Raw genomic sequence first — 19078 nt, 5'->3', positions numbered from 1 at the left:
AGGGCAAAACTCCATCTCAAAAAAAAAAAAAAGTTTGGGTGTGGAACTGGCAAGGTGGCTCACCCCTATAATCCTAGCACTCTGGCAGGCTGAGGCAGGAGGATTGCTTGAGGCCACTAGTTTGAAGCAAGCCTGGGCAACATAGCAAGACTCCATCTCTACAAAAAATAAAAATAAAAGTTTGGATGTGGATGGGATCACTCAAAGGCTCATAAGGATCCCTGAGATATACTAACACTTAAAGGATGAAGAGAGGAAAAATCTACAGTGTAGGCACAGAAATGCCTAGAAATGAGAGAAAAAAACAGGAGCGCATACTGCCTCAGAAACACCAAGAGTAGTTTGGGAAGAAAGGAGTCAACAATAACAACTATCAAAGGAATGAATGGCCAACAGTGTAGCCTCAAGTAGGGTAGTGTGAGTAGTTGATAGACCAAAAATCCTCAGCAAAATACTAGCGAACAGATTCAACAGCATACTGAATGGATTATACACCATGGCCAAGTGGGATTTATCCCAGGAATACAAAGGTAGTTCAGCATTAGAAAATCAATCAATGCCAACACACCTCATTAACAGAAAAAGTAAAGAATTGCATACATGATCCCACAATTGATGCTGAAAAGGCATGACAAAATCCAACATGCTTTCATGATTTAAAAAAAAAAAAAACTCAGAAAACTAGGAATAGAAGTGAAATTCCTCAACATAATAAAGTATATTTATGAAAAACCCAGAGCCAACATCATATTCAAAGATAAAAGTAATGAAAGCTTTCCCTTAAACATCAGCAACAAGACAAGGATGCCCATTTTCACCACGGCTATTCAACACTGTACTAAAAGTTGTAGACTGATCAATTAGGCACTAAAATGAAATAAAAGGCATCCAAATTGGAAAGAAAGTAAAAGTATCTCTATTCATAATTATATGATCCTATTTATATTAAAAAAAAAGAATCCACCCCCTTCACCACCCCCACCAAAAAAAACTAGAGCAATAAACAAATTTAGCTAAGTTGTAGGGTATAAGATCAACAAGCCAAAATCAGTGTTTCTATACACTAGCAATGAACAGAGCAAAAAGGAAATCAAGGAAACAATTATATTTATAATAGCATCCAAAAGAATAAAATACCTAGGAATAAATTTAACCAAGGAGATAAAAGTATTGCTTTAAGAAATTTTTTAAAAGACTTGAATAAATGGAAATATATCCTGTAATCATAGGAAGACTTATTGTTATTAAGGTTAAAATGTTAATACTACTCAAAGCAATCTACAGATGCAACACAATCCTATCAAAACTTTTTGCAGAAATGGAAAAGACAATCCTTAAATTCATACAATATTGTAAGGAGTTCAGAATAGCCAAAAAGATCCTGAAAAAATAGAGCAAAATCAAAGGACTCTCTTTTCTTCTTCTTTTTTTTTTTTTGAGACAGGGTCTCACTCTAATGATATATTAGTCAGGGTTCTCTCTAGAGGGACAGAATTAATAGGATATATAATATATATATTAGTAGGATTATATATATAGTAGGAATATATATATATATATGTATATAAAGGGGAGTTTATTCAGTATTAACTTACATGATCACAAGGTCCCACAATAGGCTGTCTACAAGCTTGAGGTGCAAGGAGAGCCAGTCCAAGTCTCAACAATGAAGAACTTGGAGTGTGATGTTCAAGGGCAGGAATCACCCAGCACAGGAGAAAGATGTAGGCTGGGAGGCTAGGCCAGTCTCTCCTTTTCATGTTTTTCTGTCTGCTTTATATTCGCTGGCAGCTGATTAGAGTGTGCCCACCAGATTAAGGGTGGATCTGCCTTCCCCAGCCCACTGACTCAAATGTTAATCTCCTTTGGCAACACCCTCACAGACACACCCAGGATCAATACTTTGTATCCTTCAATCCAATCAAGTTGACACTCAGTATTAACCATTTCAACCACCCCTTGTCAATTTGAACCCATATACATTTCCTGAGATTATACATAATCTTCAAATAAAGACAATAATAAGGTCATAATTACACCTAACATAATACAACTATCCTTTGTACAACCAGAAATGCACCAATCCCCAACCCAAATACTATAATATAAAGTTAATACTTAAATGCTGATATGAAGTCAATAAATCTTATGTCACATGATAAAGGAAAAAGGAAATAAAATGAAGACATTTCTTAGTACAAATGTATACATGCACAAACATGTTTTTAACAAAAGGAGAAAATACTCATGACAATTACAGTCCCCGTTTCTGCAGCTGGTCACGTGGTCATAGCTGGTATTGATGACTACCTTCTTCTACTACCCATTCTATATTCCCTTTGCCTTCAGCAAGCACCTCGGCAGGTCGTGGTTTTTTTTCCTGATGGAGTGATCCAAACTTTCATTCCTGAAGGGTCTGGGCCATTTGTAGTCCTGGCTGGGTTGGGCTATTGTAATTTCCCATTGACCTTAATCAGAGGGCATGGTAATACTAAGACACGCCCTCATGGATCTCCTGCATTCCATGCATACTCTTACTTACCTCCATTGTGGAGTAGACTGATTTTGTCTTGAGAGTCCGGGTCAATCACCCAGCCAACACTGTGACTCCATTCTTAGCCAGTTGACTTAAAGGTAGGAGGAGCACAAAGTGTCCAGGTGGCAATCTTAACTTCCAGTTTAACAGGATCATTGTTGTGTCTCCTTGTGGCAGCATTCCTCCCTCTGGAACTAAGACCTCTAGGCCAGCAGAACGTAATGTCACAAGAACAGGAAGCAATAATTTTGCTAGTGGATTGCTAGGGGTGATGGTGAGTGGTACCACTTCCACTTCCACCCCTTGATTCCTGGACCCATGAATCCTGGCTATGGGGGGAAGAGTACCATATATTGGACACTGATTCAGAGTATACACGGCCTTCTGGAGAACTTTGCCCCAGCCCTGCAAAGTATTGTCACCTAGTTGATTTTGTAATTGTGACTTCAAAAGGCCATTCTACCATTCTATCAATTCAGCTGCTTCAGGATGATGGAGAATATGGTAAGACCAGTGAATTCCATGAGTATGAGCCCACTGCCACACTTCTTTAGCCATAAAGTGAGTGCCTTGGTCAAAGGCAATGCCGTGTGGAATAACATGATGGCGGATAAGGCATTCCATGAGTCCATGGATGGTAGTCCTGGCAGAAGCATTGGGTGCTTCTTCCAAGTCCCTGACCATCCAGCCAAACCATTGGCTACAACCCATGAATCAGTGTATAATCACACATCTGGCCATTTCTCCTTCTATGCAAAGTGTACCACCAGGTGCACTGCTTGAAGTTCTGCCCACTGGGAAGATTTCCCTTCACTGCTGTCCTTCAGGGATGTCCTGGAAAGGGGCTGTAGTGCTGTAGCTGTCCACTTTTGGGTGATGCCTGCATATCGTGTAGAACCATCAGTGAACCAGGCCCTAGTCTTCTCTTAGTCTGTCAACTGATCACAGGAAACTCCCCAGGAGGCCATCGGTGCAGGCTGGGGGAGAGAAGGCAAGGTGGCAGGAGTGGAGACCATGGGCATTTGAGCCACCTCCTCATGTAACTTATTTGTGCCTTCAGAACCTGCTTGAGCCTGATCACATATAGACCACTTCCATTTGATGATGGAAGGCTGCTGTGCACAACCTACCTTATGGCTAGATGGGTCAGAAAGCACTCAGTTCATGATAGGCAGTTCAGGTTGCATGGTGACTTGATGACCCATAGTCAAATGTTCAGTTTCCACCAAAGCCCAGTAACAGGCCAAGAGCTGTCTCAAGAGGAAAGCAGTTATCTGCAGAAGATGGCAGGGCCTTGCTCCAAAATCCTAGAGGCCTCCACTGTGATTCATCTATGGGGGCCTGCCAAAGGCTCCAAACGGCATCCCTATCTGCCACTGACACCTCAAGCACCATTGGATCTGCTAGGTCATATGGCCCAAGTGGCAGAGCAGCTTGCACAGCAGCTTGGACCTGTGGCAGAGCCTTCTCCTGTTCTGGACCCTGCTCAAAATCAGCCGCCTTTCAGGTCACTCGATAAATGGGCTGGAGTAACACACCCAAATGAAGAATGTGTTGCCTCGAAAATCCAAATAGGCCTTGTGACACCAGGCATTGTGTCTCTTTCTTGGTTGTAGGAGGGGCCAAAGGCCCCTTCACCTTAGAAGGAATATCTTCCTTCACCTTAGAAGGAATATCTTGCTTCACCTTAGAAGGAATATCTCGACAGGCCCCATACCACCGGAACCCAGGAAATTTTACTGAGGTAGAAGGTCCCTGAATTTTAGTTGGATTTATTTCCCATCCTCTTGCATGCAAATGTCTCACCAATAAGTCCAGTGTGTTTGCTACTTCTTGCTCGCTAGGTCCAGTCAGCATAACGTCATCAATATAATGTACCAGTGTGATATCTTGCCAAAGCAAAAAGCAATCAAGGTCTTTCCGAATAAGACTATGACACAAAGCCGCAGAGTTGATATACCCCTGAGGTAGGACAGTAAAGGTATATTGGTAACCTTGCCAGCTGACGGCAGATTGCTTCTGGTGGGCCTTATGGACAGGAATGGAGAAAAAGACATTTGCCAAGTCAGTGGCTGCATACCAGGTACCAGGAGATGTGTTAATTTGCTCAAGCAATGAAACCATATCTGGTACAGCAGCTGCAATTGGAGTCACCACTTGGTTAAGCTTACAATAATCCACTGTTATGCTCCAAGATCCATCGGTCTTCTGCACAGGCCAAATGGGGAAGTTGAATGGGAATGTGATGGGACTCACCACCCCTGCATCTTTCTTTTTTTTTTTTTTTTTTTTTTTTTTTTTTTTTTTTTTGAGACAGAGTCTCACTCTGTCGCCAGGCTGGAGTGCAGTGGCATGATCTCGGCTCACTGCAACCTCTGCCTCCCAGGTTCAAGCAGTTCTCCTGCCTCAGCCTCCTGAGTAGCTGGGACTACAGGCATGCACCACCATGTCCAGCTAATTTTTTTTTGTATTTTTAGTAGAGACGGGGTTTCACCATGTTGCCCAGGATGGTCTCGATCTCTTGACCTCGTGATCTGCCCGCCTCGGCCTCCCAAAGTGCTGGGATTACAGGCATGAACCACCATGCCCAGCCAGCCCTATCCCTACATCTTTTAAGTCCTTGATGGTGGCACTAATCTCTGCAGTCCCTCCAGGGATGCGATATTATTTATGATTTAATATTTTTCTAGGTAGAGGCAGCTCTAGTGGCTTCCATTTGGCCTTTCCCACCATAACAGCCTTCACCCTACCAGTCAGGGAGCTAATGTGGGGGTTCTGCCAGCTGCTAAGTATGTCTATGCCAATTATGCATTCTGGCACTGGGGAAATGACCACAGGATGAGTCCGGGGACCCACTGAACCCGCTGTAAGTCCTGAGCTAAAACTCCATTAATTACCTGAACTCCCTAAGTCCATACTTTACCTGGAGGACCGCAATGATGTTTTGGGTCTCCTGGAATCAGTATCAGCTCAGAGGCAGTGTCCAGTAGTCCCTGAAATGTCATTTCCCTTTCCCCAGTGCAAGTTACCCTGGTAAAAGGCCAGAGGTCTCCTTGGGGAAGGATGGGAGAAAGATTCACTGCATAAATTGTTGGTACTGTAGTGGGGTCCTTCCTCAAGGGGACCCAGACTCCACTTCATTCAAGGGGTTCTGGGTCTGCAAACTGGCTCAAGTCTGGAAATTAATTGAAAAGCCATGATTCTCTGTTTTTATAATTCAAATTAGTCTTTTGTCCATTTGACCTAGAAGTTTTCTGCTTGTATAAATTAAGTAGGAATGCAGTAGGCTTCCTATCAATTTCACTTCTAGGAACATCGTGATTAATTAGCCAATGCCAGAGCTCTACATGAGTCAGACTATTCTGATTGCTGCTTTGCCTCTACTGTCCATTATGGTAGCTACGTCCACCTTGCTTTTGATGGTTGAGTGCCACCACTTGGCTCCTGCCACCTCAGGATCCAATTATTCCCATTGTATTTAAATTTTGTAGGTGAGTGACTGCAGTTGCCACTGTTAGGTCTGACATACAGAGAAGAGCAATTACACGGCTCTTCAAAGATGCAGGTGCTCCCCTCACAAATCTATTTTACAAGGCATTCATCAAGGGTATATCTTCTGGACCCTCCCAGCTGGGATGAGTCAGTCTAAAGTGACTAATCCAGTTCACCATCCCAATCTCCCTAAGCCTTTGGATCCCTTCCTCTATATTAACCCAAAGGAGATCAGGCATTTCCAGCTGGCTCACAGTGGGCCATCTTTTAATCCATAATTCAGCTAACCAAGCAAATAATCTATTATAACCTTTTTTTTTTTTAACTCTCCAAGCTGCAACATTAAAAGCAGAGTCCCTACTTCATGGGCCCAAATCAATAAATTCAGCCTGATCCAACTCTATGTTCTTTCCACCATTATCCCACACCCTTAATATCCATTCCCATGCCTGTTCTCCAGATTTCTGTTTATATAAATTAGAGAACTCAAACAGTTATTTTTGAGTGTAGCGCACCTCCTTATGGGTCACACTCTCAACCTCACCTCTAGGGGCTGGCCAGAGGTCCCTGGCAGGACTTTAGTCTAGTTATAGGTCTAGAAGCAAACAAGGTTGTTGGGGGTGGCTTCTGAGGAGAATCAACATTATCTTGCCTGGCAACTGTCTCGGGAGGCCATCACTGTTGCGTCAGGCAGTGCAGGATTTATCTCCTCAGACAAAGGTGGAAAGGCTGATGGCAGCATGGATCAGGGAGGGGATGTTGCCACTACTGGGTATGGGGAATCTGTTCCTTCTGGCAAAAGAAAGGTTCATCAGAGTTTACAAATTCAGTGTCCCCAGTTTCATCAAGGTCCTCCTACACATCCCCATTCCAAGTTGTAGGGTCCCATTCTTTTCTAATCAATGCCCTTATTTTAACGGTAGACACCTGGCAAGGCTGTGCACGCACCTTTTGTTGCAGGTCAGCCACTCGCATGATGAGAGCTTGTGTCTGTTTTTCCACAATTTCAGCTCTTTCTCTACAGGAGATAAGACTCTCACTCAGGGCAATCTTGGCAGATTTGAGGCTCAGTATCTGCTTCTGAAGCTGAGAGACAGAATCCCTGAGTTCATTTTCTTTCACTACTTTGTCCACTGAACTTAGGAGCAACCAACCAGCTTCATTATGTTCCTTGGTTCTCCACATATGGTCAAAGGTACTATGTATAGAGTTACTAAACTCCTTGCCTCTCATGAGTGATGAATCAGAAGTGTCAAATGCATTTATTTTGCATAACTCTCTAAACAGTTCACACCAAGGACTATCAGTATTCTCCATACTATTAGAAGTAGAGTCCTTAGCATTTTTGGGTCTAATCATATTAAGTAGCCAACTCCAGAAACCCCAAAACCAACGAAAGAACTGCATCCTTAATAGTCTGTTCCTCTGGAACCACTCCGGGTACTAAAATCTATACTAGTCAGGTTTCTCTAGAGGGACAGAACTAATAGGAGATATATATATATATAAGCTTATTCAGTATTAACTTTCACAATCACAAGGTCCCACAATAGGCTGTCTGCAAGCTTGAGGAGCAAGGAGAGCTAGTCCAAGTCTCGAAACTGAAGAAATTGGAGTCTAATGTTCGAGGGCAGGAAGCACCCAGCACGGGAGAAAGATGTAGGCTGCTGGGAGGCTAGGCCAGTCTCTCCTTTCATGTTTTTCTGCCTGCTTATATTTGCTGGCAGCTGATTAGATTGTGCCCACCAGACTTAATGTTAATCTCTTTCAGCAATACCCTCACAGACACACCCAGGATCAATACTTTGTATCCTTCAATCCAATCAAGTTAACACTCAGTATTAACCAGCACAAACGCCAAGGCTGGAGTGCAGTGGTAGGCTCAATATAGCCTTGAACTTCTGGCCTCAGCCTCCCAAAGTGCTAGTATTACAGGCATGAGCCACTGCACCCAGTCTCACTCTTCTGGATTTCAAAACTTACTAAAAGCTAGAGTAATCAAAACAGTGTGGTATTGGCATAAGGAAAGACACATAGACCAGTGGAAAGGAACTGAGAGTTGATAAGTAAACCCATACATCTATGGCCAGTTGATTCTTTTTTTTTTTTTTTTTTTTTTTTTTTTTGAGACGGAGTCTCGCTCTGTCGCCCAGGCTGGAGTGCAGTGGCGCGATCTCGGCTCACTGCAAGCTCCGCCTCCCGGGTTCACGCCATTCTCCTGCCTCAGCCTCCCGAGTAGCTGGGACTACAGGCGCCCGCTACCACGCCCGGCTAATTTTTTGTATTTTTAGTAGAGACGGGGTTTCACCGTGTTAGCCAGGATGGTCTCGATCTCCTGACCTCGTGATCCGCCCGCCTCGGCCTCCCAAAGTGCTGGGATTACAGGCATGAGCCACCGCGCCCGGCCTGGCCAGTTGATTCTTGACAAGGGTGCCAAGTCTATTCAGTAGGAAAAGAACAGGTTTTTTTGTTTTGTTTTTTGTTTTTTTTTTTAAACAAATGGTGATGTGACAACTGGATTTCCACATACTAAAAACAAATAAAAACAAAACAGAAAACAAAACTAAGTTGGACGCTCTTTTGGAAAAACTCTCACAAACTGTTTTTCCTCTACTCTTACACCACCACAATAATCATCAACATAGAAGACTTCTGTGACCAAATGTGTGAGGGTTTATCCCCAGGCACCAAGCAGCAGATACTGGCTGAGCATCTTCCAGTTAAGTTCTGATGCTATATACCTGGAGATAGTGTCAGATTCCACAGGATGAGGGCTTAGTCCCCAAGGCTGTCTCCTACTCCAGACACCAGTTACAAGTCTGGGCCTCCAGAACTTCTCACCAACAGGTTTCAAGTTAGGGTTCCCATGACCCCTACTCTTTGAGTTCAATTAATTTGCTGGAGCAGCTCACTGAACTCCAGACAACATGTTTAATGGCTTATTACAAAGGATACTGCAAGGGTTACAGAGGAAGAGGTGCCTAGGGTGGCCAGGCACCTTCCAGGAACCTCCCTGTGTTCAGCTATCGGAAGGAAAATTTTTGAAGTCAGCATTCCTTCCCTCAGAGTATGTGGCAGGACCCTCTCTGGGGAGGGTCTTCTGACCCACAATCAGAAAGGCAGAGTAAGATTAGAGTCCTGCCTTGGGGAAGGTGAAAGGAGATCTGGAGAGATTGTTTCCTGAAGCCTCAGATAGCCAGCATTATGACAAAAGTCTGTAACAAGGGCTACGGGAGTTGTATAAATCAGGAACTATGACCAAAAAACATATATATATGGATATACACACACACATATGTAATACCACACACATTTACCTCACACTGTATATAAGAATTAAAATGGATCAATAACCCAATAACCTAAATACAAGAGCTAAAATCATAAAAATCTTAGAAAAACACAGGAGTTGCCCAGGCATAGTGGCTCATGCCTGTAATCCCAGCACTTTGGGAGGCTGAGGTGGGAGAATGTCTTGAGCCCAGGGGTTCAAGACCACCCTGAGTAACGAAGTGAGACCCCTGTCTCTACAAAAAATAAAAATGAAAAAATTAGGCAGGGATGCTGCCATGTGCCTGTAGTCCAGGCTACCTGGGAGGCTGAGGTAGGAGGATCACTTGAGCCCAGGAGTTAGAGGCTGCAGTGAGCTATGATTGTGCCACTCTGCATTTCAGTCTGGGCAACAGAGTAAGACCTTGTCTAAAAAAAGGAAGGAAGGAAGGAAGGAAGGAAAAAGAAATAAAACACAGGAGTAAGTTTTTAAACCTTGGATTTGACAATGGATTCTTATATATGATATCAAAAGTACAAGCAACAAAAGAAAAAAAATCTGAAAAAAATCTTTCTTAAGGGGGGCTCTGAAAAAAAAAATTGGACTTCATATAAAAATTTAAAACTTGTGCATCCAGCAAAAGAAACTACCAACAGAGTGAACAGGCAACCTACAAAATGGGAGACAATTTTTGCAATCTACTCATCTGACAAGGGGCTAATATCCAGAATCTACAAAGAACTCAAACAAATTTACAAGAAAAAAACAAACAACCCCATCAAAAAGTGGGCAAAGGATATGAACAGACACTTTTCAAAAGAAGACATTTATGCAGCCAACAGACATATGAAAAAATGCTCATCATCACTGGCCATCAGAGAAATGCAAATCAAAACCACAATGAGATACCATCTCACACCAGTTAGAATGGCAATCATTAAAAAGTCAGGAAACAACAGGTGCTGGAGAGGATGTGGAGAAATAGAAACGCTTTTACACTGTTGGTGGGACTGTAAACTAGTTCAACCATTGTGGAAGACAGTGTGGCGATTCCTCAAGGATCTAGAACTAGAAATACCATTTGACCCAGCCATCCCATTACTGGGGATATACTCAAAGGATTATAAATCATGCTGCTATAAAGACACATGCACACGTATGTTTATTGTGGCACTATTCACAATAGCAAAGACTTGGAACCAACCCAAATGTCCATCAATGATAGACTGGATTAAGAAAATGTGGCACATATACCCCATGGAATACTATGCAGCTATAAAAAAGGATGAGTTCATGTCCTTTGTAGGGACATGGATGAAGCTGGAAACCATCATTCTCAGCAAACTATCACAAGGACAGAAAACCAAACACTGCATGTTCTCACTCATAGGTGGGAATTGAACAATGAGAACACTTGGACACAGGAAGAGGAACATCACACACCGGGGCCTGTCATGGGGTTGGAGTGAGGGGAGGGATAGCATTAGGAGATATACCTAATGTAAATGACAAGTTAATGGGTGCAGCACACCAACATGGCACATGTATACATATGTAACAAACCTGCACGTTGTGCACATATACCCTAGAACTTAAAGTATAATAAAAAAAAAAGTCAAAATGAGTTGCTGCACCCTAAAAAAAAAACAAAAAACTTCTGCATCAAAGGAAATTATCAAAAAACTTAAAAGATAGCCCACAGAATGGGAAAAGTATTTGCAAATCATATTTAATAAGGGTCTAGTATCTAGAATATATAAAAAATGCTTACAACTCAACAGTAAAAAGATAAATAACCCAATTAAAAATGGGCAAAGAGGCTGAGCGCAGTGGCTCACATCTGTAATCCCAGCACTTTGGGAGGCCAAGGCAGGTGGATCACCTGAGGTCAGGGGTTCAAGACCAGCCTGGCCAACATGATGAAACTCCATCTCTACTAAAAATACAAAAAATTAGCTGGGCATGGTGGTGGGAGCCTGTAATCCCAGCTACTTGGGAGGCTGAGGCAGGAGAATTGCTTGAACCTGGGAGGCGGAGGTTGTAGTGAGCCAAGATCATGCCATTGCACTCCAGCCTGGGCAACAAGAGTGAAAATCCATCTCAACAACAACAACAAAAAAAAGGCAAAGAACTTGAATAGACATTTCTCCAAAGAGGATATAGAAATAGCCCATAGGGATTGAAGAGACAGTCAACATAATTAGTTCTTAGGAAAATGCAAATTAAAACCGTAAGGAGTTACCACTACATGCCCATTAAGATGGCTATAGCCAAAAAGGCAGACAATAACAAGTGCTGGCAAATATGTAAAGAAATTGGAACCCTTATTGCAGGTGGGAATGTAAAATGGGATAGCTACTTTGGAAAACAGTCTGCATTTCCTCAAAGTTAAACACAGAGTTAGTATATCATCCAGCAATTCCACTCCAAAATAATGCACAAGAAAATCTAAAACATCTGTTCAAACAAAAATCTGTACATGAGCGTTCATGACAGCATTATTCATAATAGCCAAAAAGTGGAAACAACCCAAAGGTCCATCAACTGGTGAATAAAGAAAATCTGGTATTATCTACACAATGGAATATTATTTCTACATAAAAAGGAATGAAGTACTAATGCAAGATGCAACATAGATGAACCTTGAAAACATTAAGTGAAAGACAGATACAAAAGTCTACATACTATGATTCCATTTGTATGAAATACTCAAGATAGGCAAATCCATACAAACAAAAGTAGACTAGTGGTTGCCAGGGGCCAGGGGAAGGGTAAAATGGGCAGTAACTGCCAATGGGTATAGAATTTCTTTTGGGGATGATAAAAATGTTCTGAAATTAGATCGTGGTGATAGTTGTACAACTTCATGAATATACTAAAATTCACTGAATTTGAAAAGGATGGATTTTACTATATATGCATTATATTAAAATATTTTTAATGCTTATCTTACCTCACTTTTGACAACAAAGGGTACTATTTTTTCTATCTCAGCCAATTTGATAGGAAAGAAAAAGAATATTTGATTTTCATTTTTATGAGTAATACAAAGATTACTGATCATTTCTATTTCTTCATTAGTGATTTGTCTGTATGCTTCGCCCAGTTTTGTACTAGCACCTCATCTTTTTCTTATTGTTTTGTAGAAACTTTTCATATTATAAGGTTATCAACCCTTTGCCATCTTTCCTAGTTTGTCATTTGTCTTTTAGTTTTTTTTATGGCGCCTAACATACACGTTTTTCATTTTCACATAATCAAAATTATTCACCTTTATGATTTTGTTGATTGTTTGAACTCCTGGAAATCCCTGACTTCCACTCTCCTGATCCTGCCAGTTCTAGCACAAGAGAAATACTGATCTATATTTATTCTTCTGTTTGTGAGTGACTTTAATTTTCTTAGCTTTCATTTTTAAGTAGCAACACCAACAGCACTGCAAGGGAGGGTAGATGCTCACTTTCCTCTGATTGCGTCTCTGTAAGGAGATAGATGGAATAAATACCAAACTCTTTGACAGCTACAGCTGTATGGTAATGGCCACTTCTTCCTTCTAAATGATCTCTACTAGAGAAGGCAAACAGATAGGGAGCTTCCAGGAAAAAGCCCATGAACTCAAATCCCCAGGTGTAATCATCCTGGCCAATAGGCAATTTGTTAATACTGGCCCTTAGAAGGAGAGGCAAAGAAAGCCTATCAATTGTCTTATCTCAGCACCTGACACAGAGTAGGTGCTCAATAATTGTCAGTTGTTAAATTAAATTCATCAGTTATGTTATACCCCAGTCGGGATGAACTGGGCCTGGCCAACCCGAGTGGAGATCATAAAGGGACAGCATTACCAGACAAGGTTAAAAAACACAAATTGCTGCCTTTTTCCATGGTCCTGGAACATACCCCATAATGACTGGGAATTCTTTCCCGGAATGTGATGAGATGGAGAACCACATGTAAAGATTCCAACTTGATAACTTTCCTCTGGGCTTTAACATGATTTTCCTAAAAGTGACTGGGGTTGCTTCTCTTGTGTCCAAGGCTCCAGCACCTCTTTTCACACTCTATCAAACAATGACTGTTTGATATGTAACTTGTTTGAATGTAACTAGTTCAATGTAACTAGAGGTGAATGTAAACTAGTTCAATTGATTTCATTTCATTTTAAGATGAAAAGATTATGTCTGAGTTTCCGGCTATTTATTCTACTTCATCTCAATTGACTTTTCTGATAAAAGGGAACTTACTGGTCTTAAAATTTCTATTATATTATTTTTCTAAAAAAAGATGGGGTCTCGTTATGTTGCCCAGGCTGGGATTGAACTTCTGGCCTTAAGCAACCCTCAGCCTCCTGAGCTCCCTGGGACTATGAGTGCATGCCACTGTGCCTGGCTTAAAAATTATATTCTTTCTATCAGAAAGAAACTTATAGCATCCACTGCTTATATTTGGAGGAGAAATTCTCAAATAAATATTCCAAGCTTCTGTCTTGAGAAACTATCTTAGAAAAAGAGGAGCAAGCTGAGTGCGGTGGTGTGCCTATAGTCCCATTTACTCGGGAGCCTGAGGTGGGAGAATCTTTGGCCCAGGAGCTTGAATCCAGCCTGGGCGAAATGGCGAGACTCCATCTCAAAAAGAAGAAAAGAAAAAGAGAAGCAAATGAACATAAAAACAAGCAGAAGGAAGAAAATAATAAAGAGTGATCATAGCTGTAGTGAGCCATGATCACACCTCTGCACTCTAGCCCGAACAACAGAGCAAGACCCTATCTCTGAAAAAGAAAAACTTACAAGAAAATCTTCATGACTTTGACTTAGGCAAAGTGTTCATCGATATAACATTAAAAGCACAGTCCATTAAAAAAACTGGATAAATTGTACTTCTACAAAATGAAAAACCTTTGCTCTGTAAAAGACTGTTAAAAGAATGAAAAAAGCTACAGACAAAAAAATTTTAAGACTTTGCATCAAGATTATAAAAAGAATTCTCAGGACTTAACAGTAGGAAAACAACAACCCAATTTTTGAAAATTGGTGGAATAATTTGAAGAGACACTTCACAAAAAGTAATATAGAGATGGTAAATGAGCACATAAAAAGATTCTCATCAGGAAAATGCAAATTAAAACTGATGAGAAACCACTATACACCTAATAGAATGGGTAAAAAGGGGAAAAAAATCAATACCAAATGCTGGCAAGGACGAGAAGCATCTAGAACTCTCATATGTTACTAATGGCAATGCAAAATGGTATAGCCACTCTGGAAAACAGTCAGGCAACTTCCAATAAAGTTAAACATATACTTGCCGTATGACCCAGCAGTCCCACTCTTAGCTATTTACTCAGGGGAAATGAAAACATATGTTTACACAAAAACCTGCAAATGAGTGTGTATAGCAGTTTTTACTCATGATTAGTGAATACTGGAAATAACCTGAATGTCCTTGAATAACCGAATGTATAAACTTTGGTACAACTATTAATGGAATGCTACTCAGCAGTAAAAAGGAATGAGACAATGATACATGCAGCTACATGAATGAATCTCAGTGACATGCTAAGTGAAGGAAGCTAGACTCAAAAGGTGACATACTTTCCAGTTCCATTTATAGGACATTCTGGAAAAGGTAAAGCTATAGGAATAGAGAAGAGCTGGGGTGAGGGAAGGGTTTCACTGAAAGGACAGCAAGAAGGCCTTTTTGGGTGGTAGAACTGTTCTGTATCCTGACTATGGTGATGGTTACATGAAACCGTACATGTATTAGAACTGTATATTCAAAAGGTTCATTTTTACTATATATAAAATTTTAAAATAACAATTTTAAAATAATAGGAAGTAATATAGTTTATACTTCATCTCACTTCAGATAAGATTTAAAATGGTTTCCTTTAACTGTAAGACATATGGTTAATTATGCAAAAGCTCAATATAAACCCTAAGAAGATTTGCTGCCAGATCGTATTTACAATCTGGCTAAAAGGCAAGCCTGAATCCTTGAAAAACTGGTTACCTTAATTTCTCCCTTTTCAATCCTTTTTATGTTCTCTCTTCCTTCTCACCTCTCTGATTGTCTTCCTCTTTCTCGCTCCCTCCCTTTCTGTTCCTTTGTCTTTATCCAGTCTTAACTGATTGTATTTTAATCTGAAGTGTATACATTGCATTATTTTTTGTCACTTAAAAAAATTAAAACTCGTTCTTTATTTTTAAAATTGAATGAACTGAACATTTTGTATCTCTCTCAAAATTAGAATATTCTGTCAAATTACTTACAAGTTGATTTTTACTTGTGAATGATTTTCAAAATTGATAATATCTCCCCCCTCCACTGCCCCGCCACTGCCAGTTGCTCAGGTGTTCTCAAGAAGGAGGGAAAAACCTTTTTTTCTTTTTCTTTTTTTTTTTTTGAGATGGAGTCTCGCTCTATTGCCCAGGCTGGAGTGCAATGGCACCATCTTGGCTCACCACAACCTCCGCCTCCCGGGTTTAAGCCACTCTCCTGCCTCAGCCTCCTGAGTAACTGGGGTTACAGGTGCATGCCATCACACCCAGCTAATTTTTGTATTTGGAGTAGAGACAGGGTTTCACCATGTTGGCCAGGCTGGTCTTGAACTCCTGACCTCATGATGCACCCGCCTCGGCCTCCCAAAATGCTGGGATTATAGGTGTGAGCCACCGCGCCCAGCTGACGGAGGGAAAAGTTTTTATGTCCCTTGTCATGTGAGGAGGCAAATCCTTCCCCTCAAAGTTGACATAACTTTCGATGTTTTATATTATGAAGATAACCCTTTATCTAGTCTAGATTCTCTTAAAATATTGTTTCAAGTGTTAAATTATACTTATTTCTTTTGCATATTTAAAATATTTTTGAAAAACACACATAGCAATTTTCTAGTAATACGTTCATTTTTGGCATATAAATGGGGCTACCCATACCTGTTTTGAAACCAACACATTTGTTTGCAATCAAGTAGATATATACAAAACAATTATCAAAGAGAGATATTTAAAGTTAACTGGCAAATGGTCTGTGTCAAATAAACACAGCCATTTACATTTAAAGGTGATGACCAGGAATTAAACTGAGCACTAGAAAAAGGTGACAGGTTAAGAAGGAAAATGGGTTTGAGAGATTCTACCAAGCTGTATTAAGAAAAAGATGAGCGAAACTGGCTTGTGAATTTACAAGGCAAAGCTAGAAAAACTGATAGATTACGAATTTCTGTACGAATAGAAAAATTGAGCCAGCTCATCATATTAAAAGGCAGCTTTTTACATAACCTAAATAGAAAAAATATTTTACTCTTATCTCCACCGCCATCTTCATGTTTTCTTCCGCTTTTTCCTTCTTCATCTTCGGAGTTTTCTATTTCCTGAATAACCATCCTTTTCCCTTTGGTTTGAGTCTCAGATGCAGCTTCAGAATTTTTCAGATCTCTTTCAACCTCTGACAAGGTTTTCTGCAACATAATTACCATATTAAAGAAAATATTTTCCTCTAATAATAAATATAACCATTCTTTCAGGTTAAAAACATAAAGATGTTGAAAAATGAATACAACTAAGACAAGGCTTTTTTTTGGTGGCCTTTGATTGTAATCATAGATGTCCACTGTAAAAAAAAAACACACACACACAAAAAGCGGTGTAACAAGTATAAAAAATAAAGAAAAAATCACCTAAAATCTTGCCATTCAGATACTACTATTAACATTTTGATAATCATCTTTCTAGATGTTTCTATGCATATATACCCACAGAGATGTACAGTTTTACACAAATGAAATCATGCTACATACGCTGTTTGTTTATTTAAAATATAGAGATGAGGTCTCACTATGTTGCCCAGTCTAGTCTCAAACGGTGGGATCAAGCAATCCTCTCACCTCAGCCTCCTGAAGTTCTGGGATTACAGGCGTGAGCTACCACACCCAGCCCACATTACTGTTTTAGAGTAATGCTGAAAATTCTGAAATATTTTATGCTGACTCTGATGAAAAATAGATATATCATCCTTTGTTGGATATACGATTTTCAAATATTTTCTCCCAGTCTGTGGTCTGTGGCTTTTTTGTTTGTTTTGTTTTGTTGTTGTTGGTGTTGTTGTTTCTGAGACAGGGTTTCCCTCTGCTGCCCCGGCTGGAGTACAGTGGTGCAATCACAGCTCACTGCAGCCTTGACCTCCCGGGCTCAAATTATCCTCCCACCCCTGCCTCCCGAGTAGCTAGGACTACAGGCCCACACCACCATGTCTGGCTAACTTTTTAAATTTTTTGTGGAGATGAAGTTCAGCTGTCTTGCCCAGGCTGGTCTTAAACTCCTGGGATCAAGTGATCTGCCTGCCTCAGCCTCCTGAAGTGCTTGGATTACAGGTGTGAGCCACCGTGCCCAGCTGTGGCTTGTCTTTTATTCTTCTAATAGTGTCTTTGAAAAGTATATGTTTTAAATTTTGATGAAGTCCAATATATCAACTTTTTCTTTTATGGATTGTACTTTTCATGTCTTACATAAGAAATATTTGTCTAAGGTCATAAAGATTTTCTCCTATGTTTTCTTCTAGAACTTTTATATTTTATATCTTACATCAAAAAGTATATGATCCATTTTGAGTTAATCTTTGCATATGGTTAAGATAAAAATGCATTTGAAACCAGGCACAATGGCTCATGCCTGTAATCCTAGCACTTTGGGAGGTGGCGTGCACCTGTGGTCTCAGCTACACAGGAGGCTGAGATGGCAGGATTGCTTGAGCCTAGGAGGTGGAGGCTGCAGTGAGCCATGTTCCCACCACACTACAGTTGAGGCATCAGAGCAAGGCCCTGTCTCAAAAATAAATAAACATAACCATTACAAAAAGGAAATACTAAGCCAGGCCCTAAACCTAAACCTAAAATGTTGACTTGACAAAGCAGCTGATATTCTAGGAACATTAGCTGCCACTCAGAGACAGTGGGATAGGTAACCCAATAGGTGTATGTGGAAACTTAGTAACAATTTTTCCATGGGTTTCTCTTATTTCTGACTATACTGCCAGCAGAGGCACTAAACCACCTTCTTTCTGGACATCTCTAAGGATGTTTGTACTGAGAACAACCTTGGCAAACAGAAATAGTATTCATCTGCAGCGGAGAGGGCAGGTGTGTTGGCTCTCCAGTGTAATAAAGGTGATGCTTCCCTATGGAGCAGAGATTGGGCAGGTTTGCTTATATCCCATCATAAAAGAAGCAGGTTTCCTAAATTTTTGTTTGTTTGAGATGGAGTCTCACTCTGTTGCCCCAGTTGGAGTGCAGTGTTGGCCAGGCTGGTCTTGAACTCCTGACCTCAGGTGATTTGCCTGCCTCAGCCTCCCAAAGAGCTGGGATTACAGACGTGAGCCACTGCACTCAGCTGGTTTCCTAAATTTTTGATTTGTCAGCCATCACATAAATCCATTGAGTGTGCAACATCCATCTGGGCCACTCTATGTCACCCCTGTGGGACTTGGGAGCAAGGGGAACTGACATGAACGTGAAGCTCATCTGCTTGGAGTGACAAAGTCTTTTCGTGTTTGACTCAGGATATCTTGTATCCTCTGGTAGGCCACCTTGTTCATTTGTAAGCAGGGGAAAATCTCAGTTCTTGACACTTACCTCTACTCTTTAGGCGTGAATACAGATCCCCTAAGTGTATAACTGAGTCAGTCTGCTCAGTCAGGTAGCAAATGCTACCATGCTCATTACAAAGAGAAACACTCTTCAATGGCCACAGAGTTCACCCCTAATCCTACCTAGGAAGGTACCTTCTATA

General features: G+C 40.8%; 1 protein-coding gene across 11 annotated transcripts in view; it reads right to left on the bottom strand.

Moving 5' to 3' along the window:
• SPAG1 (sperm associated antigen 1) overlaps window positions 1-19078 on the bottom strand; it is an 83867-nt gene that overhangs the window by 31041 nt on the left and 33748 nt on the right. For all 11 annotated transcript variants that reach the window (XM_047422128.1, NM_001374321.1, NM_172218.3 and 8 more), the window contains exon 10: window positions 16596-16752. In XM_047422128.1, coding sequence (XP_047278084.1) covers window positions 16596-16752 — 157 coding nt within the window. The remainder of the gene's footprint in view (window positions 1-16595; window positions 16753-19078) is intronic.

This window comes from Homo sapiens, chromosome 8, assembly GCF_000001405.40.
Source record: "Homo sapiens chromosome 8, GRCh38.p14 Primary Assembly".
In the NCBI taxonomy this organism is placed as follows: Eukaryota; Metazoa; Chordata; class Mammalia; order Primates; family Hominidae; genus Homo; species Homo sapiens.
The sequence above is the reverse complement of the archived record's forward strand: the minus strand, read 5'-3'. Positions and strand labels throughout refer to the sequence as shown.